This window comes from Homo sapiens, chromosome 12 (genome assembly GCF_000001405.40).
Source record: "Homo sapiens chromosome 12, GRCh38.p14 Primary Assembly".
NCBI lineage: Eukaryota > Metazoa > Chordata > Mammalia > Primates > Hominidae > Homo > Homo sapiens.
Window position 1 is genome coordinate 117,042,162 of NC_000012.12, and position 18,161 is coordinate 117,060,322.

The window sequence follows — 18,161 nt, forward strand, 5'->3', positions numbered from 1 at the left end:
CAGCATGGAGCCGGTCACCCTGAACCTCCAATATCCTCATTCATGGGCTTGAGGGTGGGATGGGAGCCGAGCGTCGCTCACCAGGGCCCTGGCAACGTGTGGCTCAGAGCAGCCTCCCTCCCCTCCCCCAGCCCCCCAGGGAGAATCCGAGGTGTGGGTGACATGAGGGCATGGGGCTCTCCTTCCCCACTCAGCCCACCTCACCACCAGCCCCCCAGCAGCTGGACCACCAAGATGCCTCCTGTACCCGCCTAGGTCTGGCCTCCTCATGCCTGCGCTGTGCTGATAAGAAGATTCCAGGCTAATCTAAGCTCACAGACCTCAGGGGAGAGGTCAGGGAAACACAGGGCCAGCCTGTGAGGCCCACGCCTCATGCCTCGTGAGTCACCGTGATAACTCAGGGCCACTGGGGAGGGCAGGGCCAGAGGGTGGCCACAAGGAGCCTCTCCCTGCTGAGTGGGTTTGGCGATGCCAGTCTCCATCGCCTCTGCGTCCTCCCTGCTCTGGGGATGACACCAGGTGCTCCTGCCCCTTTCACCGATACTCCAGGATCCCACCGACAAGCCTCCAAAAACCTCACCCTGCAGCTCGCTTTGTGACAGCGAAAACCCGCTGACATCCCAGGTGCCCGTCAATAGAAGGCGAGGGACATAAATCTCGGTCATCCACGCTATTGATTCCCACGCAACCATTAACCATTTATGCCTAGTGTTCCATTACTGGAACGCTAAGCTGTGGGAGTTACTTATATCCTACTGGTCAAGGTCATCGCCAAGGTCTGATTGCAAAAATTGAAAAAGCTGCAACCTCAGGCAAAAATGGGTTAAGAAGGGGTTGATCTGTATGTCTCACTCTGGAAAAGGCTCTGAGATGTGTACCCAGCAGATAAAGAACAAAAAACAAAACCCAACAAGCAGAAAGATGTCTGCAGGTCTGTGCACGCAAACCTTTCCTCAGACTGATAACCAGACCCCCACCATCTGCCCTGTGGGTGTGTGGGGTCATACGGAGAAAATGGGAAGCCACATCGGTTCGATTATGTTTTGCATACATCAAAAATAAAAGACATGCATGTATACATTGGTATATGTAGGAAAAAAACCACCGAGAGGGAGTCCCTTTAGGGAAGAGGACCTGGGCTGGTGGGGGAGCAGGAGAGGCTCAAAGCTCTCTCTGTGACTGTCTGAAATTCTGTACAACGTGTGTTTAAGAACACAGGAGGCACACTCTAAGCATGTTATGCACCAGGCATGTATGTCCCAAGTGCCTTCCAAGTGGTATTGTTTTGTTTTCATTTGTTTTGTTTTGTTTTTGAGACAGAGTCTCGCTCTGTTGCCCAGGCTGGAGGAGTGCAGTGGCGCGATCTTGGCTCACTGTGACCTCTGCCTCCCAGGTTCAAGTGATTCTCTTGCCTCAGACTCCCAAGTAGCTGGGATTATTACAGGCATGTACCACCATGCGTGGCTAATTTTTTAAATTTTTTAGCAGAGACAGGGGTTTCACCATGTTAGCCAGGCTGGTCTCGAACTCCTGACCTCAAGCAATCCAACCGCCTGGGGCTCCCAAAGTGCTGGGATTACAGGTGTGACCAAATGCTATTGTTAGCATTTAATGATAGATGCCAATCTCACAACCGGCCCTGAGTTGGGTTCTAGTCTCTCTCCTGTATTACAGATGAGGGACACAGAGGGAGCTGCCTGTCCAGCTGGGAGCATCTAGCTGCCTCCAAGTCCTTGAGGGCTGTTTCTACTGGCAGGACTTTGCAGGCTCTTTAGTTTCCTCTTTATACTTAAAAAAATTTTGGCCAGGCACAGTGGTTCACATCTGTCATCCCAGCACTTTGGGAGGCCAAGGCAGGAGGACTGTTGGAGGCCAGGAGTTCGAGACCAGACTGGTCAACATAATGACATCTCTTTTTAGCAAAACATCTCTTTTTTAAAAAACTTTTAAAAATTAGCTGGGTGTGGTGGTGTACACCTGTAGTCCCAGCTGCTCCAGAGGCTGAGGTAGGAGGATGGCTTGAGCGCAGGAGATGGAAGCCGTAGTGAGCTATGATCACACCACTGTACCACTGCACTCCAGTTGGGGCGACAGAACGAGACCCTGTCTCTTAAAAAATAAATAATAAATTAAAAAAAAAATGAAACCCAGCAGTTCTCGGCTAGCCTGGGCCAGCCCTGTCCCTAATGGCTCCTTCCTCCCTGTCTTCCCACTCACGGGCACAGTGGCTGCCCTCCCTGCCGGGCCTCCCTAGGTTCCCAGGCTGGCCAAGGGGAGCTAATTATAGAAAAGGCCCCCATGGCCAGAGTCTGGGGCTGGAAAGGGGGTGATCGGTGCAAGGAAGGAGGGCGGGGAGTTGGGGGAAGCAGCCCCGGCTGAATGCCCAGTGAAGCAGTCCCCCCATCAAGCATCCATGGGTGTGACCTCCTGAGAAAGCACTCTCAAAAGATCCACAGGCCGGCGCGACGGCTCATGCCTGGAATCCCAGCACTTTGGGAGACCAAGGTGGGTGGATCACTTGAGGTCAGGAGTTCGAGACCAGCTGGCCAGCATGGTGAAACCCCGTCTCTGCTAAAAATACAAAAATTAGCCGGGCGTAGTGGCACACGCCTGTAATTCCAGCTACTCGGGAGGCTGAGGCAGGAGAATCACTTGAACTCAGGAGGTGGAGGTTGCAGTGAGCCGAGATGGTGCTACTGCACTCCAGCCTGGGCGGCAGAGTAAGACTTGGTCTCGGGAAAAAAAGAAAAAAAAGAGAGAGAGACAGATCCGCCTCAGTCAATAACTGCCTTTGGAAGTCCATTAAAGTGGGGACCAGGGATTGTTTGTCTTTGGCGGATGGCACGGTCAGAACGGGAAGTGTCCTCAGAGGCTGGGAGGGATTGAACCGACGCAGCTGCCCCTTGCCCCCAGCTCAGGCCGCATGCACAGCTCGGTCTGGGTTTATCTGGCCGAGGTTTACACCAGAAGGTATTTTAGGAGCACCCGGAGGACCCATGAGTGAAGAAAGAGGTGGAGATGAGCCCTCTGCCTTGCAGCCGTCTTCCTGGTTCCAGGGCTACCCCCACCTCATGGGGGCCCGTAGGCAGCGGGTACGCCCCGGAGCCCGGCCTCCGCCCCGAGATGCCTCTGCTTCCCAGGCTGCGGGGGTTTTATGCAGATCAGCAGCTGGCAGCTGCCAGCAATTTCACTACAGCAAATTAAGAAAACTGTCGCCAATTGAAACTGGAGTGGGACAGGGAGTAATTTGAACAAGGAGAGTGTAATTAAATCAAATGGGAATTTGGCCCGACAACCCGGCGGGGGATCCCTGCTCTCCCCACCGAGGTCACAAGCCCTCTCCCGTGGTGGTTAGTCTGCTGAGTGCGGAGGTTTCACCCAAGCCAGAAGCTTCCCCCTGGGCTCCAGAGGCAAACAGATAAAATACACGTCAGGAAACCAACCGACCACAGCCCCTGCCCCTGGGGGCAGGCCCAGGCCGGTGGCCTCATGTCCCTCAAGGACAGGCTTGGGGCACAGAGAGCAGGATCCAGCATGAACGCCCCTCCACTCCAGGCTGGGCAAACACAAAGCCGTCAGGGTGTCTAGAGACGCAGCCACTTTAGACACACAGGGGCAAAGGGCTGACTGCATCAGTGGGGCCATCCAAACCCCTCAGGGAACACACGACACCCAGGTGGTCACCTGCCTGCCTGAGTGGTCCCCAGAGGCTTAGAGCCTTAGGGCTGGGGGCTGGTGGGGCTGCACCTGTCCTTACAAGAGAAAATCCACCCTGCACAGGAAAGATCATAAGGTCTAGAGGATTCTCTATGCTCTCTGAGTCTCAGTTTTCCCACCAGTCAAAATGAGGCAAGATGTAATAAATGATGAACATGGAAAGGCCACTTCCCTCTCTTCTGTGTCATTTACACACCAGCCCCCACCTCGGCTCCTCCACCGGACTCCATGCCATCGGCTCTTGTCAGCCCCCAATAGGGCTCCCTGCTGACCCCTGCCTTCGAGGCCAGAAGTTGCCTCTGAGTCATTTGTTAAGAAATAAACCAATTAAGGCCAGCCTGTGCCATGTGCTACCTAGGCCTGGCCCCAGGGTCAAGTGCTGCTGTGAGCACTGACTGAGGCCGGGGTGGGGGATCAGGGGGCTATGCAGGTGGGGGCTCCTGGACCCCAAAGCCTGAGATCTCGAACTCTGCTTCCCTGCCTTATGCAGCTCTCTGGGGACTTGGACCTTCAGTCTCCTGGGGGACAGGAAGGGCTGGGAGAGGTTCCTGAGCCCCACAGGCCACAGGTAGAGCAGGTGGCAGAATACACCTGGCCCCTGCCCCATGAGGCCTTCCAGAAACGCAGACCATAAGCGGGAAAGGCACTGCGCGTCTCGGGAGGGCTGCAGGGGCGCTCACCATCTGCCCCATGCACACGCTGGCCGCCTCCATCATGGCCCCGTCGGCGATGGAGCGAGCGGACTCCTTCTCGATGTGAGGGTTTCCCGACAGCAGCTCCTCGACCACCTGCCAGGTGGGGCGGAAACAAACGGTGACCTTGGGCCTCCATCAGGGTCGTGGGGGGCAGAGGGGGAAGGCACCAGGAGCCCCGGGCGGGCCAGAGGAGCATACTTTACATTTCGATATTCTTCCAGAGTGATGCGGCCGTCGCTGTCCGAGTCGTACATGTGGAACAGAACTAGGGTGGCAGGGGAGAGAGGGGACTCCGTCAGGCGGGGCCTGGCCCCTGCCACCCCCTGAAATGTACACTAAACTAAGCAAAAGACACCAATAACCAAACCTCAATGCCAAAGCCAGAGGGGTCAGGGCATGAGCTGTGGGACCAGACTGACTACTTCCTACTGGGTGACCTTGGGCCCGTGACCTAACTTCTCTGAGCCTCAGTTTCCTCATCTGTGAAATGGGAATAACAACAGTGTCTACCTCGTGGCCTTAGGAGGGCTGGGAGCTAGCGCTGTGGCGTTAGGGCCTGGCAACTGCCCCGTGAGCATGAATATCACGACAGTAAGCGTTACCCGTTAACACAAGTCAAACGGTGTCGAGTTCAAAATATTGTTCCCACAGCCCTGGAGGGCACCATCATCTCACCCATAGCAGGTCACGGTCCACAGTGCTTCTGATCTGGGCCCGACTGATCTAACATGGGCAGCCCCAGGCCTGGCATCAGGGAGGCGATGGCCGGGAGGGGGCCTCTCCATGTTGTTCCCAGCACGGCCTTGGGAGCTGGAGCTCTCCCAAGTCTTCTGTGTTGGCATTTTTTTTTTTAATGTATTTATTTTTTCAAGATTTAGTCTCGCTCTGTCACCCAGGCTGTAGTGTAGTGGCACGATCTGGGCTCTCTGCAACCTCTGCCTCCTGGGTTCGAGAGATTCTCCTGCTTCAGCCTCCTGAGTAGCTGGGATTACAGGTGCACGCCGCCATGCCCAAGTAATTTTTGTGTTTTTAGTAGAGACAGGGTTTCACCAGTTGGCCAGGCTGGTCTCAAACTCCCAACCTCAAATGATCCACCCACCTCAGCCTCCCAAAGTGCTGGGATTACAGGTGTGAGCCACCGTGCTCAGCCGGCATTTATTTTTTATTATTGTTATTATTTTTTTCAGAGATGGGGTCTCACTCTGTCGCACAGGCTGAATGTAGTGGTGCAACTGTAGCTCATTGCAGCCTCCATATCCTGGGCTCAAACTACCCTCCCACCCCAGTCTCCCGAGTACCAGGGACCACAGGCACGCAGCACCACTATGCCGTGCTCATTTTTTTATTTTGTAGAGGCAAGTGTCTTTCTCTGCTGCCCAGGCTGAGCCCTGAACTCGTGGCTTCAAGTTATCCTCCCCACTCAGCCTCCTAAAGTGCTGGGATTACAGGAGTGCACCACTGAGCCCAGCTGGCATTTACTGAACACTGACCAGATGCCCAGGTGTGCAAAGCGCTTCACAAACCTCTGTCTCCCTCTCACCCAACCCCAAGAGGCCAGGGATGCCTGAGCCCTGCCTCCCAGACAGACTGTCAAAGCTCACGGAAGTTAAGGCGTTTGCCCACGGCCACACCACTAAGGGACAGGAAACCAGGGATTTGGACCTGAGTCCGTCCTGTTCCACGCCCCTTGGAGCAGACAGGAAGCCAGGCTCACACCAGGGATCCACCCCCGCCACCCGGGCTGTTCCCACCAGCCCCGCATACACATTCCAGTGCTAAATATAGCGAAGTCCCATGTTTACATTTTCTTGATGAGGAGGCTGACCTGGGGCGGGACACAGAGGGATGTCAGGAGTCATGGGAAAGGCCACAGGAAAAGGAGATGTGACTCGGGGCACTGCCTGGGACCTGTGCGGCTGGCCAGCTGGGACCACAACTGAACCCACTCGGGAGCCAGAACATAGTGGGGCTGGTCTCAGGAACCCAGCAATAGCACAGCCCATGGAGGAGGGAGAGGAGGAAACTGACTTTAGGGAGCGCTTCCTGTGTGCCAAAGGCTGACTGTGTGATCTTACCCAGCCCTCAGAACCACGCATGATCGGCATACCCACGTTCTGGGTCAAGGTTCAAGGTCACATGGCTGGTGAGACGGGCCACACTGGAACCCAGGTCTTTGCATCAAGGGCCTTGTTTCACATCCACCGCACAACCCCCTTCTAGTCCCAGGAAGCCACAAGCTGCTGAGGAATGTTTAGGATGAAGGTGCCGGGAACGGGAGACAGCAATGCCAGCCTCACAGGGACGAGGGCTGGTGGCCCCAAGCCCTCCAAGCCCCCAAGCCAATGCACACCCAGCCTCCTGCTGCAGAGGCGCCTTGCGTTCTGAGGTCTTAGGGGAGGCTGCACCCCAGGCCAGGTGTGAGCAAGGGGACTCAGTGGCACGCACATCTCAGCTTCTCCTTCCGGGACAGCTCCACCTGTTCCTCGTCCATGGTGGTGTCGATGGGCCGGAAGTAGGACATGATGGTCAGGAAGTCCTCGAAATTGATCTCATCAGCCAGGCCACTGGGTCCCTTGCGCAGGTTCCTACGGGAGCAACAAGGAGGGTGTTGGAAATAAATGAAGAACTGGATCTTGTCCTCTTGCTACCATTAGCTCCCGAGAACTCCGCTCTCAGGGTGCACACTGGACCCACGATGGCTGCTCTCGCCTTGCGTCTGTGCCCCAAGAACCTGCTTCGTGGCGGGGCTGCAGGCTCCGGAAGCTGAAAGCTCAGCCCTTGCCCTGCCCTCACGGAGCTCATCATCAGGGAGGTGGAAGAGAGAGAGACAACTGCGTGACCGTTGATTCAGGCGGTGACAGAGGGATGCGTGGGTGTGTGATGGTGCACACAGGCCAGCACTTATGAAGAAACCAAGCAATCCAGTAACTCACTGAGTACATCTCCTGATCCTTTCCTTTAGCTCAGGGGTTGGCAAACAGCCCATAGGCCCAATTTGGCCTGTCATCTATTTTCATACAGCCCCTGAACTAAGAAGACTTTTCGGGCTGGGTGCGGTGGCTAATGCCTCTAATCCTAGCACTCTGGGAGGCCGAGGTGGGCAGATCACCTGAGGTCAGGAGTTCGAGACCAGCCTGGCCAACATGATGACACCACGCCTCTAATAAAAATGCAAAAATTAGCTGGGCATGGTGGTGTGCACCTGTAGTCCCAGCTACTCGGGAGGCTGAGGCGAGAGAATCGCTTGAACTCAGGAGGTGGAGGTTGCAGTAAGCTGAGATCACACCACTGCACTCCAGCCTGGGTGACAGAGGGAGACCCTGTCTCAAGAAAAAAAAAAAAAAAAAAAAAGGAAGAAGAGGAAGAAGACTTTTCACAATTTTATCTTAATTTTGTCAGAGTCAGGGTCTCACTCCATTGCCCAGGCTGGAGTTCAGTGGTGCAGCCTCAAACTCCTGAGCTCAAGCCATCCTCCTGCCTTGGTCTCCCAAAGTGCTGGGACTATATATGACAGCCATGTGCCTGGCCGGTTTTCACATTTTTAAATAGTTGAAAAAATGCTTGCCAAAAAAAAAAAAGTCGAATAGTATTTCATGACAAGTGAAAATTACATGAAATTCAAATGTCAGTGTCCATAAATAAAATTTTATTGGCACACAGCCATGCCCATTCATTTATGCTTGTCTGCAGAGCTGAGTAGCTGCAACAGAGACTGCGTGGCCCGCAAAGCCTAAAATATTTACTCCTTGTCTTTTTACAGAAAAGGTTTGCCAACCTCTGCTCGCTCTCACTAGTTCAAAATTTTAGGATGGTGATTGGCTGCAAGCATCTCTAAGTAATCTGTTTATACCCAAATACAAAGTTTGCCAAGGATTGAAAGTTTTGTGGTAAGTTAGGGCAGGTTTGAGACTGGCCGTACAAATGTGCTTTTTGGAGGAGGCAAGAAAGGGCTGGTGTTCTGGGGGATGGGGACACAGGGAGTTCATGCCCCATGCCCGGCACACTGCCTGACACCCAGATGAGGGACTCAGAAATGTGTGGTCCAGCTCAGGTCTTGGCAGTTGTTAATAGCTCGGAGGCCAGGCGCAATGGCTTACGCCTGTAACCCCTGCACTTTGGGAGACTGAGGCAGGCCAATTGCTTGGGCTCTGGAGTTCAAGACCACCCTGGGCAACAGGGAGAAACCCTGTCTCTACAAAAAATTAGATGGGTGCGGTGGTGTGCACCTGTAGTCCCAGCTACTTAGGGGGCTGAGGTGGGAGGATCACTTGAGCCCAGGAGGCCGAGGCTGCAGTGAGCCAAGATCACGCCACTGCACTCCAGCCTGGGTGGCTAAGTAAGACCCTGTCTCAAACGAAAGAAACAAAACAGCCTGGAGATGACTCCAAACCCAAGCTCCTGACCCACTGTCGTCAAACCCTTATCTCTACTGGACTGTGACCATGAGCGCCCGAGGCTGCTGGGGCAGGCTGTCATATGGCTGGCAAGCTCAAGTTTCTGCCACAGCCTCTCACTGTGGCCCTTCGGAAGGGGCAGTGCCTAGCTGGCCCGGGGTGGCTAACAGTTAGTGGTTAGTGCTTGGATATGTTACTTGGGTCCCACCCAGGGCACGACTGCACCTCCATGTAAAGGAATATGTTTGCAATTCTCTCTTTAGAGGTTCATCTACTACTCCTTTTCAGCACCCAGCAAATACACTAACACCCATACGACAGCCTCTAAGTGTCCTGGGAACTCCCACTTTTTTATTTTTCTCTTCCAGGAGATTTTCCAGGGAGAGGTGGGGTCCCAAGTCTGGATTAGGGAAGGCGGATCAAGAAACTGCCCATCTGCGGGATGAGATCTGTCCTTCCCTGGGCTCAGGAAGCCCCATCTTTATGTGTTTTCACAGGTCTCTCTTCTCTCTTTTATCGTATGAAGCTCCCCACCGCTCCTGCCACAGGCTTTAATAACCTCAAAGTTCTCACTGTGGGCGGCAGAGACCAAATTTACAGAGCATAAAAATAGCCCCCGGACTTATCGGGCTGCTCTGAAAGCCCTTCCCACAGCGACTGGCTCACACGTCCTTCCCAAGTGGTTTAGGCTGCAGCAAGAGGGATTAAGATTAGCATGGGTGAAAATGTGATAGACCCCTGGGGAAGGCAGGTGTGTGTCCTTCTCTGGGAACCTTGTGACCGGCACTGCTTCAGCCTCAGGACCCAACTCAAGGAAGGAGGGTCCCTTCCCCTCCGAGTGCTCCCGCAGGTCTGAAGAGACCAACATTCTGGTCTCCAAAGGCAATGACAGCCAGTGCCAAAGAAACCCAGACAGAGCACCTGGAACCAGCCCCACTTGCTCTCCACTCCATTTTTTAAATAAAAGTTTATTTATTTATTTATTTTTTAAGAGATGAGATCTCGCTATATTGCCCAGACTGGTCTTGAACCCTGGCCATACGCAATCCTACTGCCTTAGCCTCCTGGAGTAGCTGGGATTACAGGTGCGTGCCACCACACCCAGCCCTCTAACTCCCATTTCTAAAATGAGCACCAGGATGAAGATCAGTGGACAGAAAACAGGGGCTACATCTAAATCTGCAACCCAGCATGAGGGCAGGCCATTTTCACTCTTTTTGCAAAGATGCCCCCTTAACTTTCCAATTCTTCTGTAAGGAATGGGGCGCCCTGGAGGTGGGGATGGCCTCTGCTCAAAATACCCCTTCCCCAAGACCTGTTCCCAAAGAGTCTTAGGAACAAAGGCTGAGGCTGGTATTTCTTGAAAGGAAAATCCTGTTTCCAGCATCTCCTCTGAAATCCTCCTCCAGCTTCTTCTCAGCATTTACAGGATGTGATGTGAAGCCCTTTTCCAATAGTTACAGGCTCCCAGCTGTAGCCCACGAAGTTGTTCTGGGTGCAGGCCAGAGGAAACCCTTTTTAAAATCATCCCCTCCCTCAGTGACTTCTGGGCCAGCCTTAGTCACTGGCACCTTCCTTTCTCCACACCAGGTTTCTCTAAGAAGCAGCCAGAGGCCGAGGTCCAGGGACCTATAGGGGAGGCTCTCACCACCCCATACCTGGCCACCGCCCTCCACTTCTAGCTCAGCCCAGGAGATCCCTGACCATCTTTCAACGACAGCTCTGTCAGGCAGGGACAATGACAGCTGCCCTCAGCTCCAGACCCGGAGTCTCCTGGATGCCCCCCCACACCCAACCCACCCCCAGGCTCACACCTCTAGTCAGTGCCCTGGGAACCTTCCTTTTCTCTCCTGGCCTCTGCAGCTGCCTGGCCCAGCCCCCACCTTCTCACGCACTCCAAGTGCAGCCGGAATGAGCTTTGCAAAATGCAAATCAGAGCCTGTTGTTCCCCTGCTCAGCACCCTCCTGGGGCCTCCCCAGTTCTCCTGGTAATCCCCAATCCCACCTGGTCTCCCAGGCCTGCAGGGTGGTCTCAGCCACCCACACCAGCCCAGACCTCACCGCCCCTTCCTGCCTAGCTCCCTCCTCAGGGTCCCCACAGGCCCGTCGCGCCTGGAGTCCCCCTGAGATGTGGTCACTTGTTTCAACGTCCAACTTCTGGACACCCGACATTCCCCAATGACTGAGGTCCCTGCCCCCTCCTTCAGGGAGCACCACGCCTGTGCCAGTCCTCCCACAGCTCTGGCCTAAATCAGACCCTCCAAAGGAGGAGGAGGCTACTGCCTCCGTCTGCCTGTCCCTAAGTCTGGCAGCGGCATACCCAGTGCACCCTCTTGTCTTCTGAAAACAGAGAGGCATCTGCCCCAGCCCTTTCCCCACACCCTGTCTCCTGGAGCTCGGCTGTTCATGGAAAACAGCCTGGCAGGTGTGTGCATTCCACCCCAAGAGCCGAAAACACAACTCCTGGGTCTGTCCAGGATCGTGAGGCAGACAGACCCGAGTTGGAATCCCAGTTCCTACAAGTGACAACTGACAGCCAAGTGACCTTGGGTCAAGTTTTTTTTTAAGGAATAAGAGCATACACTAAAATGCACAGATCTTGTGTTTGGACGAACATATGCCCTTGTGAAATCCACCTCTCATCTCATCCACCCTAGAAGTTCCCTCTTCCAACTTTACAACTGGCCAAAGTTGCACCCAAGCCTTCTGGAAACAAGCCTCGTGCCTACACACACCCCCTAAACGTGCACACATGCTCCCTCTCTCGCGTGCGCGCGCACGCGCACACACACATACACATACACACACGCACGCACCCACAGGCACCCCCTGGGCTCTGGTCCCCTGTACCATCTTCCTGTCAGTGCCTCCAACTCTAGGTGCCCTGTCAGGGGCCGCACGCCTCCCACCCTGATGCCTGCTCTGGCTCATCTGGGGACTGGCCTAAGACGCACTGCCCACCTGAGTCCTTTCTCTGAGAACCAGGATTTAAAAGGAGGTGAGGGCACCGGATTCCACTCTGTCTTTGCCACTGACTGTGCAACTTCACACACTTCACAGTCACTTAAGCTCCACAGGCCCCTCCTCTTTGGCACACATGACAACTGGCTGTGAAGATTCCTGCGGTACCAGGTCTCTCACCCCAACTCCCGGATCCAACCCTTCCTCATCTATAACCTCCCAGGTGGCTCAGAGCTGCCCCCTGCTCCCCAGATCCTCGGGGCACCCCTGACCCAAGCCCGGGACCATGATTCACTCCTCCCTGGCCTCCACCTCCCATTCCCACCCCTACAACCAACCAGCAGTCACAGCACCCTCTGCAAAGTGCAAACCTGGCTCACCCACCCCCTCACACCCTCACCTTAAAGTCCGTCAGCGTCCCCCATCTTGGCTCCTGAAGACCCCTGCTGCTGCTGGTCCACAGATGCTGTCCGATGCAGCCTGCCCTCCCCACACCACACTGGCCTCTCTCTGGTCCAGCTGGGTCTGCCTCTCAGCTCCCCAAGCTCCCTGTGCCACAGGGCCTTTGCACACACAGTTCCCATCGCCTGGAACCTTCTCTCCCTGCTTTTCTGGTTTAACTCTTGGTCACTCTCTCGCCAGGCCTTGCCCCATGGGCCACAGAGGAAGGCCCCTGCAACTCCAGGGGCAGCTGAAGGACCCCTCTCCCCGTGAGCAGCACCCCAGTTTCCAGTGGGACCCTGGGAGGCTCAGCACCTTGTCCAGGGTCCCACATCCCTGGCAGAACCAGGGTGAGTGGTTCATCCCTGCACAGCTCAAGACCCATCAGGGAAGCCCCCACGGTCTCATCACCACACCACGCCTGTTCCCATCCTTCCTCTTTCTGGCCATCCTCCGTTTCCCAGCCATCTTTGCAGACATGGGGACCGTGGGGCAAACAGGCTGGCGGGCCTCACTGTGTCTGCCACAGGCCCCAGCAGCATGGGGAGGGTATACCCACCCCTTCATCCCCCCTAGAGTCCCAGACACCTCCAGGCTCCATCCCGGTCACCCAGGTCTTTCACCTTAAACAATACTGGACACTGAGGCTCGAGCTCTGGCCTGTGCCTCAGCTCTGGGACACTGGCCAAAGTGCACACCTCTTTGTAAGCTTCACCACACATCCCCTCAGTGCCCCTCACAGCAACCCTGCTAGGCAAGTGCTATGATTATCTCCACTTTATTTTATTTTGAGACAGAATCTCATTCCGTTGCCCAGACTGGAGTACAGTGGTGCAATCTCGACTTACTGCAACCTCCACCTCCCGAGTTCAAGGGATTATCCTGCCTCAGCCTCCCGAGTAGTTGGGATTACAGGTGTACGCCACCACATCTGGCTAACTTTTGTATTTTTAGTAGAGATGGGGGTTTCACCATGTTGACCTGGCTGGTCTCAAGCTCCTGACCTCAAGTGATCTGCCGGCCTCGGCCTCCCAAAGTGCTGGGATTACAGTTGTGAGCCGCCGCACCTGACCGATTATCTCCATTTTAGAGATGGTGAAACTGAGGCATCCTCCCAGATGGCCCCCAAAATCCCTGCCTCCTGGTAGTCACATCCCTGTGCTGTCCCCTCAAGAAGGGGGTGACCTAGTGACTCACTTCTAACGAAGAGACACAGCAGGAGGAATAGGGTGTCACTTCCGAGATTCAGTTACAAAAAGATAGTGGGATATGTCCCATCGGTTCATTCAGGGCTGCCTCTGGAGGAAGCAAGCCGCCATGCTGTGGGCAGCTCTCTGGAGGGGCCCAGGAGATGCCACCAGCCACAAGGCTGAATCCGGAAACAGAGCCTACCTGGTTGAGCCATGAGGCAAGACCTCAGCCCCAGCTAATGCCTTGGCTGAAGCTCATGAGGCTTTGAGACCCCCAGCTAATTTGCACCCAGGTTCCTTTCCTGACCCAAAGAAATGGTGAGATAATAAATGCTTTCTAGTTTTCCTTTTCCTTTTTTTTTTTTTTTTTTTCTTCTGAGATGGAGTCTTACTGACTCTCGCCCAGGCTGGAGTGCGGTGGCATAATCTCGGCTCACTGCAACGTCCGCCTCCCGGGTTCAAGAGATTCTCCTGCCTCAGCCTTCTGAGTAGCTGGGATTACAGATGTGTACCACCACACCCAGCTAATTTTTGTATTTTTAGCAGAGACAGGGTTTCACCAGGTTGGCCAGGCTGGTCTTGAACTCCTGACCTCAAGTGATCTGCCCATTTCAGCCTCCCAAAAGTGCTGGGATTACAGGTATGACCCACTGTGCCCTGCTAATTCTTTTATTTTTAGTAGAAACAGGGTTTCACCATGTTGGCCAGGCTGGTCTTGAACTCCTGACCTCAGGTGATCCACCCACCTTGGCCTCCCAAAGTGCTGGGATTACAGGCGTGAGCCACTGTGCCCAGCCTTAAATTTTCTTTTTTAAAAAGTCTTATTTTTTAGAAACAGGGTCTCACTCTGTTGCCCAGGCTGGAGTGCAAGCGGTGTGATCATGGCTCACTGCAGCCTCGAACTTCTGGCCTCAAGTATCCTCCCACCGCAGCCTCCCCAGCAGCTGAGACTATAGGTGTGCACCACCATGCTTGGCTATTGTGTTAAACTACTAAGTTTTGGGGTAATTTGTTACATAGCCAGAGACAATGAACACAGAGGCCTAGAGAGCTTGAGTGAGCAGCCCAGTCGCCCAGCTATGAATCCAGAATGGTCCAACCCCAAACCTATGCTCATAACCCCTACCCAGCTTGGCCCCCTCTTCTGGGCATCAGCTCAAAGGGTCATTCTAGGAAACAAGTATCCCGAGATGTTACACAAGACAAGGGTGCCTGCCACTGGGCTGGTTCAGGGGAAAACGCCCACCTGTTGTCGAAGAAGGCACGAACAATTTTGGATCGGATGGGGTTGAGCTCCAGGTCCGGGACATTGTTGAAGTTCTCCTTGCTGGTTTCCAAGAAGGAGAGATACCGGGAAGAGAATAAGGAAAGATAGCAGACGTCAGCTGGCATTTTCATCCTGTATCAAGCTGTATTTTGGATCCCTAACAGGCCCCCACAAGAATAGTTCAGAGTTAGGAGACAGAACTGGAATACGCTTCACTTATCTGCCCCTTCCTCTAACCTTTAGACTGGGCAAGGGCAGGGAGGATTTGGAGGCTCAAGATACTTTTCTTTTTTGAGATAGAGTCTCACTGTCACCCAGGCTGGAGTGCAGTGGTGCGATCATAGCTCGCTGCAGCCTTGACCTACTGGGCTCAAGCAATGCCTTGCCTCAGCCTCCCAAGTAGCTGGGATGACAGATGCACGCCGCCATGCTTAGCTAATTTTTTAAATTTTTTGTAGAGACAAGGTGTTGACATGTTGCCCTGGCTGGTCTTGAACTCCTGGGCTCAAGTGATCCTCCTGCCTCAGCCTCCCAAAGTGCTGGAGTTACAGGTGTGAGCCACTGGCCCGGCCTTGAGATATTTTTGAGAATCAAAGAGGTGGACTGTACATTCATCCCCAAACAAATGCAGAGACGTGGGATTTGTGTCCATTCTGGGGATTCAGAGACTGCCTGAAGCCCATCCTCAAATCCCTAGGTCAGTATTTAGAGCAGTGGGGTGCTGGCTTGGAGCTCTGGAAAACAGTCTGGCAGGTCCTCAAAGGTTAAACATGGAGTATTGACAACCCAGCAACTCCACTCCTAGGGATATGCCCAAGAGAAATAAAAACCTGTGTGTGAATTTCACAGCAGCATTGCTCACCCGTAAAGCAGAAACAACCCAAACATCTGTCAACTCATAATTGGAGAAATAAAATGTGGCCCATGCAATGGAGTTTTTTTGTTTGTTTGTTTTTTGAGATGGAGTCTCGCTCTGCCGCCCAGGCTGGAGTGCAGTGGTGCAATCCTGGCTCACTGCAACCACAATGGAGTATTTTTTAGCCATAAAAAGGAACCAAGTACTGATAGATGCTACAACACAAATGAATCTAAAAAACATGATGCTAAGTGAGCCCGGGCGCCGTAGCTCACACCTGTAATCCCAGCACTGTGGGAGGCCGAGGCAGGCGGATCACTTGAGGTCAGGAGTTCAAGACCAGCCTGGCCAACATGGTGAAACCCCATCTCTACTAAAAATACAAAAATTACCCGGGTGTGGTGGCGCACATCTGTAATCCCAGCTACTTGGGAACCTCAGACACAAGAGTTGCTTGAATCCGGGAGGTGGAGGTTGCAGTGAGCCAAGATCTCACCATTGCACTACAGCCTGGTAGACTGTAGTCTCAAAAAACTTTTGAGTTTTGAGACTCCGTCTCAAAATACAAACAAAAAAAACCCATTATGCTAAGTGAAAGAAGCCAATTACAAATGACCACATATTACATAATTCCATTTACATGAATTATCTGGAATAGGTAAATACACCGCGGTAGAAAGCAGATTGGTGGTTGTCAGGGGGTTGGGGAGAGGGGAATGTGGTGTGCCAGCTGAGGGTACAGCTTTCTTTTGGGAGTGATGAATATGTTCTAATATTGACTGCAGTGCTGGATGCAGAACTCTGTACATACAACAAATGTCACTGAATTGCACATTTTAATGGCTAAGTTGTATTATGTAAATTACATTTCAGTAAAGCTGTTAAAAAAAAAAAAAAAAAAAGCCAGCCAGGTGTGATGGCATGCGCCTGTAGTCCCAGCTAGCAACCAATGCAGGAGGCTGAGGCAAGAGGATTGTTTAAGCCCAGGAGTTCAAGGTTACAGTGAGCTATGATGGTGCCACTACACTGCAGCCTGGGTGATACAGTGAGACTCCAATCTCTTAAAAAAAAAAAAAAAAAGGCAAAAAAAGCTTGGCTGGGGAGAGGGGAGGGTGAATTTCACAGGAGGACACCCTGTAGCTGGCACAGGTAATGCTGAGTCCTAGAGGCTGCAGGTTTGCAGGCAGGGGCGTCAGCCACTCCCTCACCTGCCTGCCCTCCTCCCCTGCCTTTCACAGAAGGCCATCCTGGGTTCTCTCAATCTGCTTCCTGCTCACCTTTTCCTTCTGCTCCATGGGCCTCCACGGGCAGTGTCTTGGGAAGGACCCAGCACACAGGCTGGTGATCCTAGGGAAAAAGGTGTCAGGCCCAGGTAGGGAAGGCAGAGGGTATCAGCCCACTGAAAATGAGGACGTCCGGGTGGGAAGTGATGACGGGACAGTCATTGGGAGTGGGATTCAACACTAGGACAGACAGATGCTGGAGAGGAGGAGGCAAAACAGATGCAAGGGACTCTACGCCGTTTGGGTTGGAAGATTCTGTGAACGCCTTGTGGCCCCTGTGCTGCCCTGCCTTACGCATTGGAGGGGTGGGGATGGAGGCATGGAGAGGCACAGCAGGACCTGGCCGATTCCCGGGTCCCTCTGTGTCCCCGGCATGGCCTCCTGTCCCTCCCACCCAGGCCTTTCAGCTGGGCTCACTCATGGCCTCTGGCCAAACTCAGTAGCTGTGTCAGGGCAGACTCATGTTTTAGATTCCCAGAAACCCAGTTCAAAAGAAGGAGGTAGACTCGGGACAGCTGGCCCAGAGAGATGGGATGTTATTTGGCCATGGAAAAAAAAATAAGATTATTTTTTGGCCATAAAAAGGAACAAGGTTTTTTGTTTTGTTTTTTTGAGACAGAGTTTCACTCTGTTGCCCAGGCTGGAGCGCGGTGGCACAATCTCGGCTCAATCTCCATGGGCCTGCTCCATAGTGGATCTCGGCTGCAATCTCCGCCTCCCGGGTTCAAGTGATTCTCCTGCCTCAGCCTCCCGAGTAGCTGGGATTACAGACATGTGCTACCACGCCCAGCTAACTTCTGTATTTTTAGTAGAGGTGCGGTTTCACCAGTTGGCCAGGCTGGTCTCAAACTCCTGACCTCAGGTAATCCACCCACCTCAGCCTCCCAAAGTGCTGGGATTACAGGTGTGAGCCATTGCACCTGTCCAGGAACGAGATTCTCATCCATGCCACAGCACGGATATACCTGGAAGACATGATGCTCAGTGGAAGAAGCCAGACACAAATGGTGTACGATGCCATTTATAGGAAACATCCAGAAAAGACAAATGCAGGGAGACAAAGTGGAGAGATGTGGTTTCCAGGGGCTGGGGACGGGGTGATGGCTAACGGGTGCAGAGCTTCTTTCTGAGGTGCTCTAAAGTGGACTGTACATTTTCAATGGGCGAATTTTATAATATGTGCATTACAGCTCCATAAAGCTGTTAAAATTTTCTAATAAGTCTTTAAAAAAACAAAAAAGAACTGCTGTGCTACTGCACTATGACTCCATTTATGTAAAGAACAGAAAGTGACAACACGAACCTCTGCAGTCAGGGTGGTGAACCGCCCCAGAGTTGGGGGTGATTGAGAGGGAAT

General features: G+C 53.5%; 1 protein-coding gene across 6 annotated transcripts in view, besides 5 other annotated features; it reads right to left on the bottom strand.

Annotated features, from left to right (window-relative positions):
• TESC (tescalcin) overlaps positions 1 to 18,161 on the bottom strand; it is a 60,494-nt gene that overhangs the window by 3,239 nt on the left and 39,094 nt on the right. For 3 of the 6 annotated variants that reach the window (XM_017019532.2, NM_017899.4, XM_011538503.1), the window contains exons 3-6: positions 14,645 to 14,725; positions 6,858 to 6,997; positions 4,616 to 4,677; positions 4,398 to 4,505 (exon numbers count right to left, since the gene is read on the bottom strand). In XM_017019532.2, the coding sequence (XP_016875021.2) occupies positions 4,398 to 4,505; positions 4,616 to 4,677; positions 6,858 to 6,997; positions 14,645 to 14,725 (391 nt within the window). Of the gene's footprint in view, positions 1 to 4,397; positions 4,506 to 4,610; positions 4,678 to 6,857; positions 6,998 to 14,644; positions 14,726 to 18,161 lie in introns of all 6 variants that reach the window. The other 3 variants (XM_047429044.1, NM_001168325.2, NR_031766.3) reach the window with 2 other exon arrangements.
• Positions 23 to 527: a silencer, noted in NCBI's record as "fragment chr12:117479989-117480493 (GRCh37/hg19 assembly coordinates)". NCBI's record gives its function as "represses an EF-1alpha promoter that drives an FKBP-Casp9 reporter gene in an ReSE screen in K562 erythroleukemia cells {active_cell/tissue: K562}" and the evidence as "EXISTENCE:reporter gene assay evidence [ECO:0000049][PMID:32094911]".
• Positions 763 to 1,057: a silencer, noted in NCBI's record as "tiled region #12461; K562 Repressive DNase matched - State 5:Enh". NCBI's record gives its function as "represses a minimal TATA promoter and a strong SV40 promoter by Sharpr-MPRA in K562 cells {active_cell/tissue: K562}" and the evidence as "EXISTENCE:reporter gene assay evidence [ECO:0000049][PMID:27701403]".
• Positions 8,663 to 8,957: a silencer, noted in NCBI's record as "tiled region #12935; K562 Repressive DNase matched - State 8:EnhW". NCBI's record gives its function as "represses a minimal TATA promoter and a strong SV40 promoter by Sharpr-MPRA in K562 cells {active_cell/tissue: K562}" and the evidence as "EXISTENCE:reporter gene assay evidence [ECO:0000049][PMID:27701403]".
• Positions 10,917 to 11,522: an enhancer, noted in NCBI's record as "H3K27ac-H3K4me1 hESC enhancer chr12:117490883-117491488 (GRCh37/hg19 assembly coordinates)". NCBI's record gives its function as "activates a minimal SCP1, AML or CMV promoter by ChIP-STARR-seq in naive H9 embryonic stem cells {active_cell/tissue: H9 hESC(naive)}" and the evidence as "EXISTENCE:reporter gene assay evidence [ECO:0000049][PMID:30033119]".
• Positions 12,129 to 12,734: an enhancer, noted in NCBI's record as "H3K27ac-H3K4me1 hESC enhancer chr12:117492095-117492700 (GRCh37/hg19 assembly coordinates)". NCBI's record gives its function as "activates a minimal SCP1, AML or CMV promoter by ChIP-STARR-seq in primed H9 embryonic stem cells {active_cell/tissue: H9 hESC(primed)}" and the evidence as "EXISTENCE:reporter gene assay evidence [ECO:0000049][PMID:30033119]".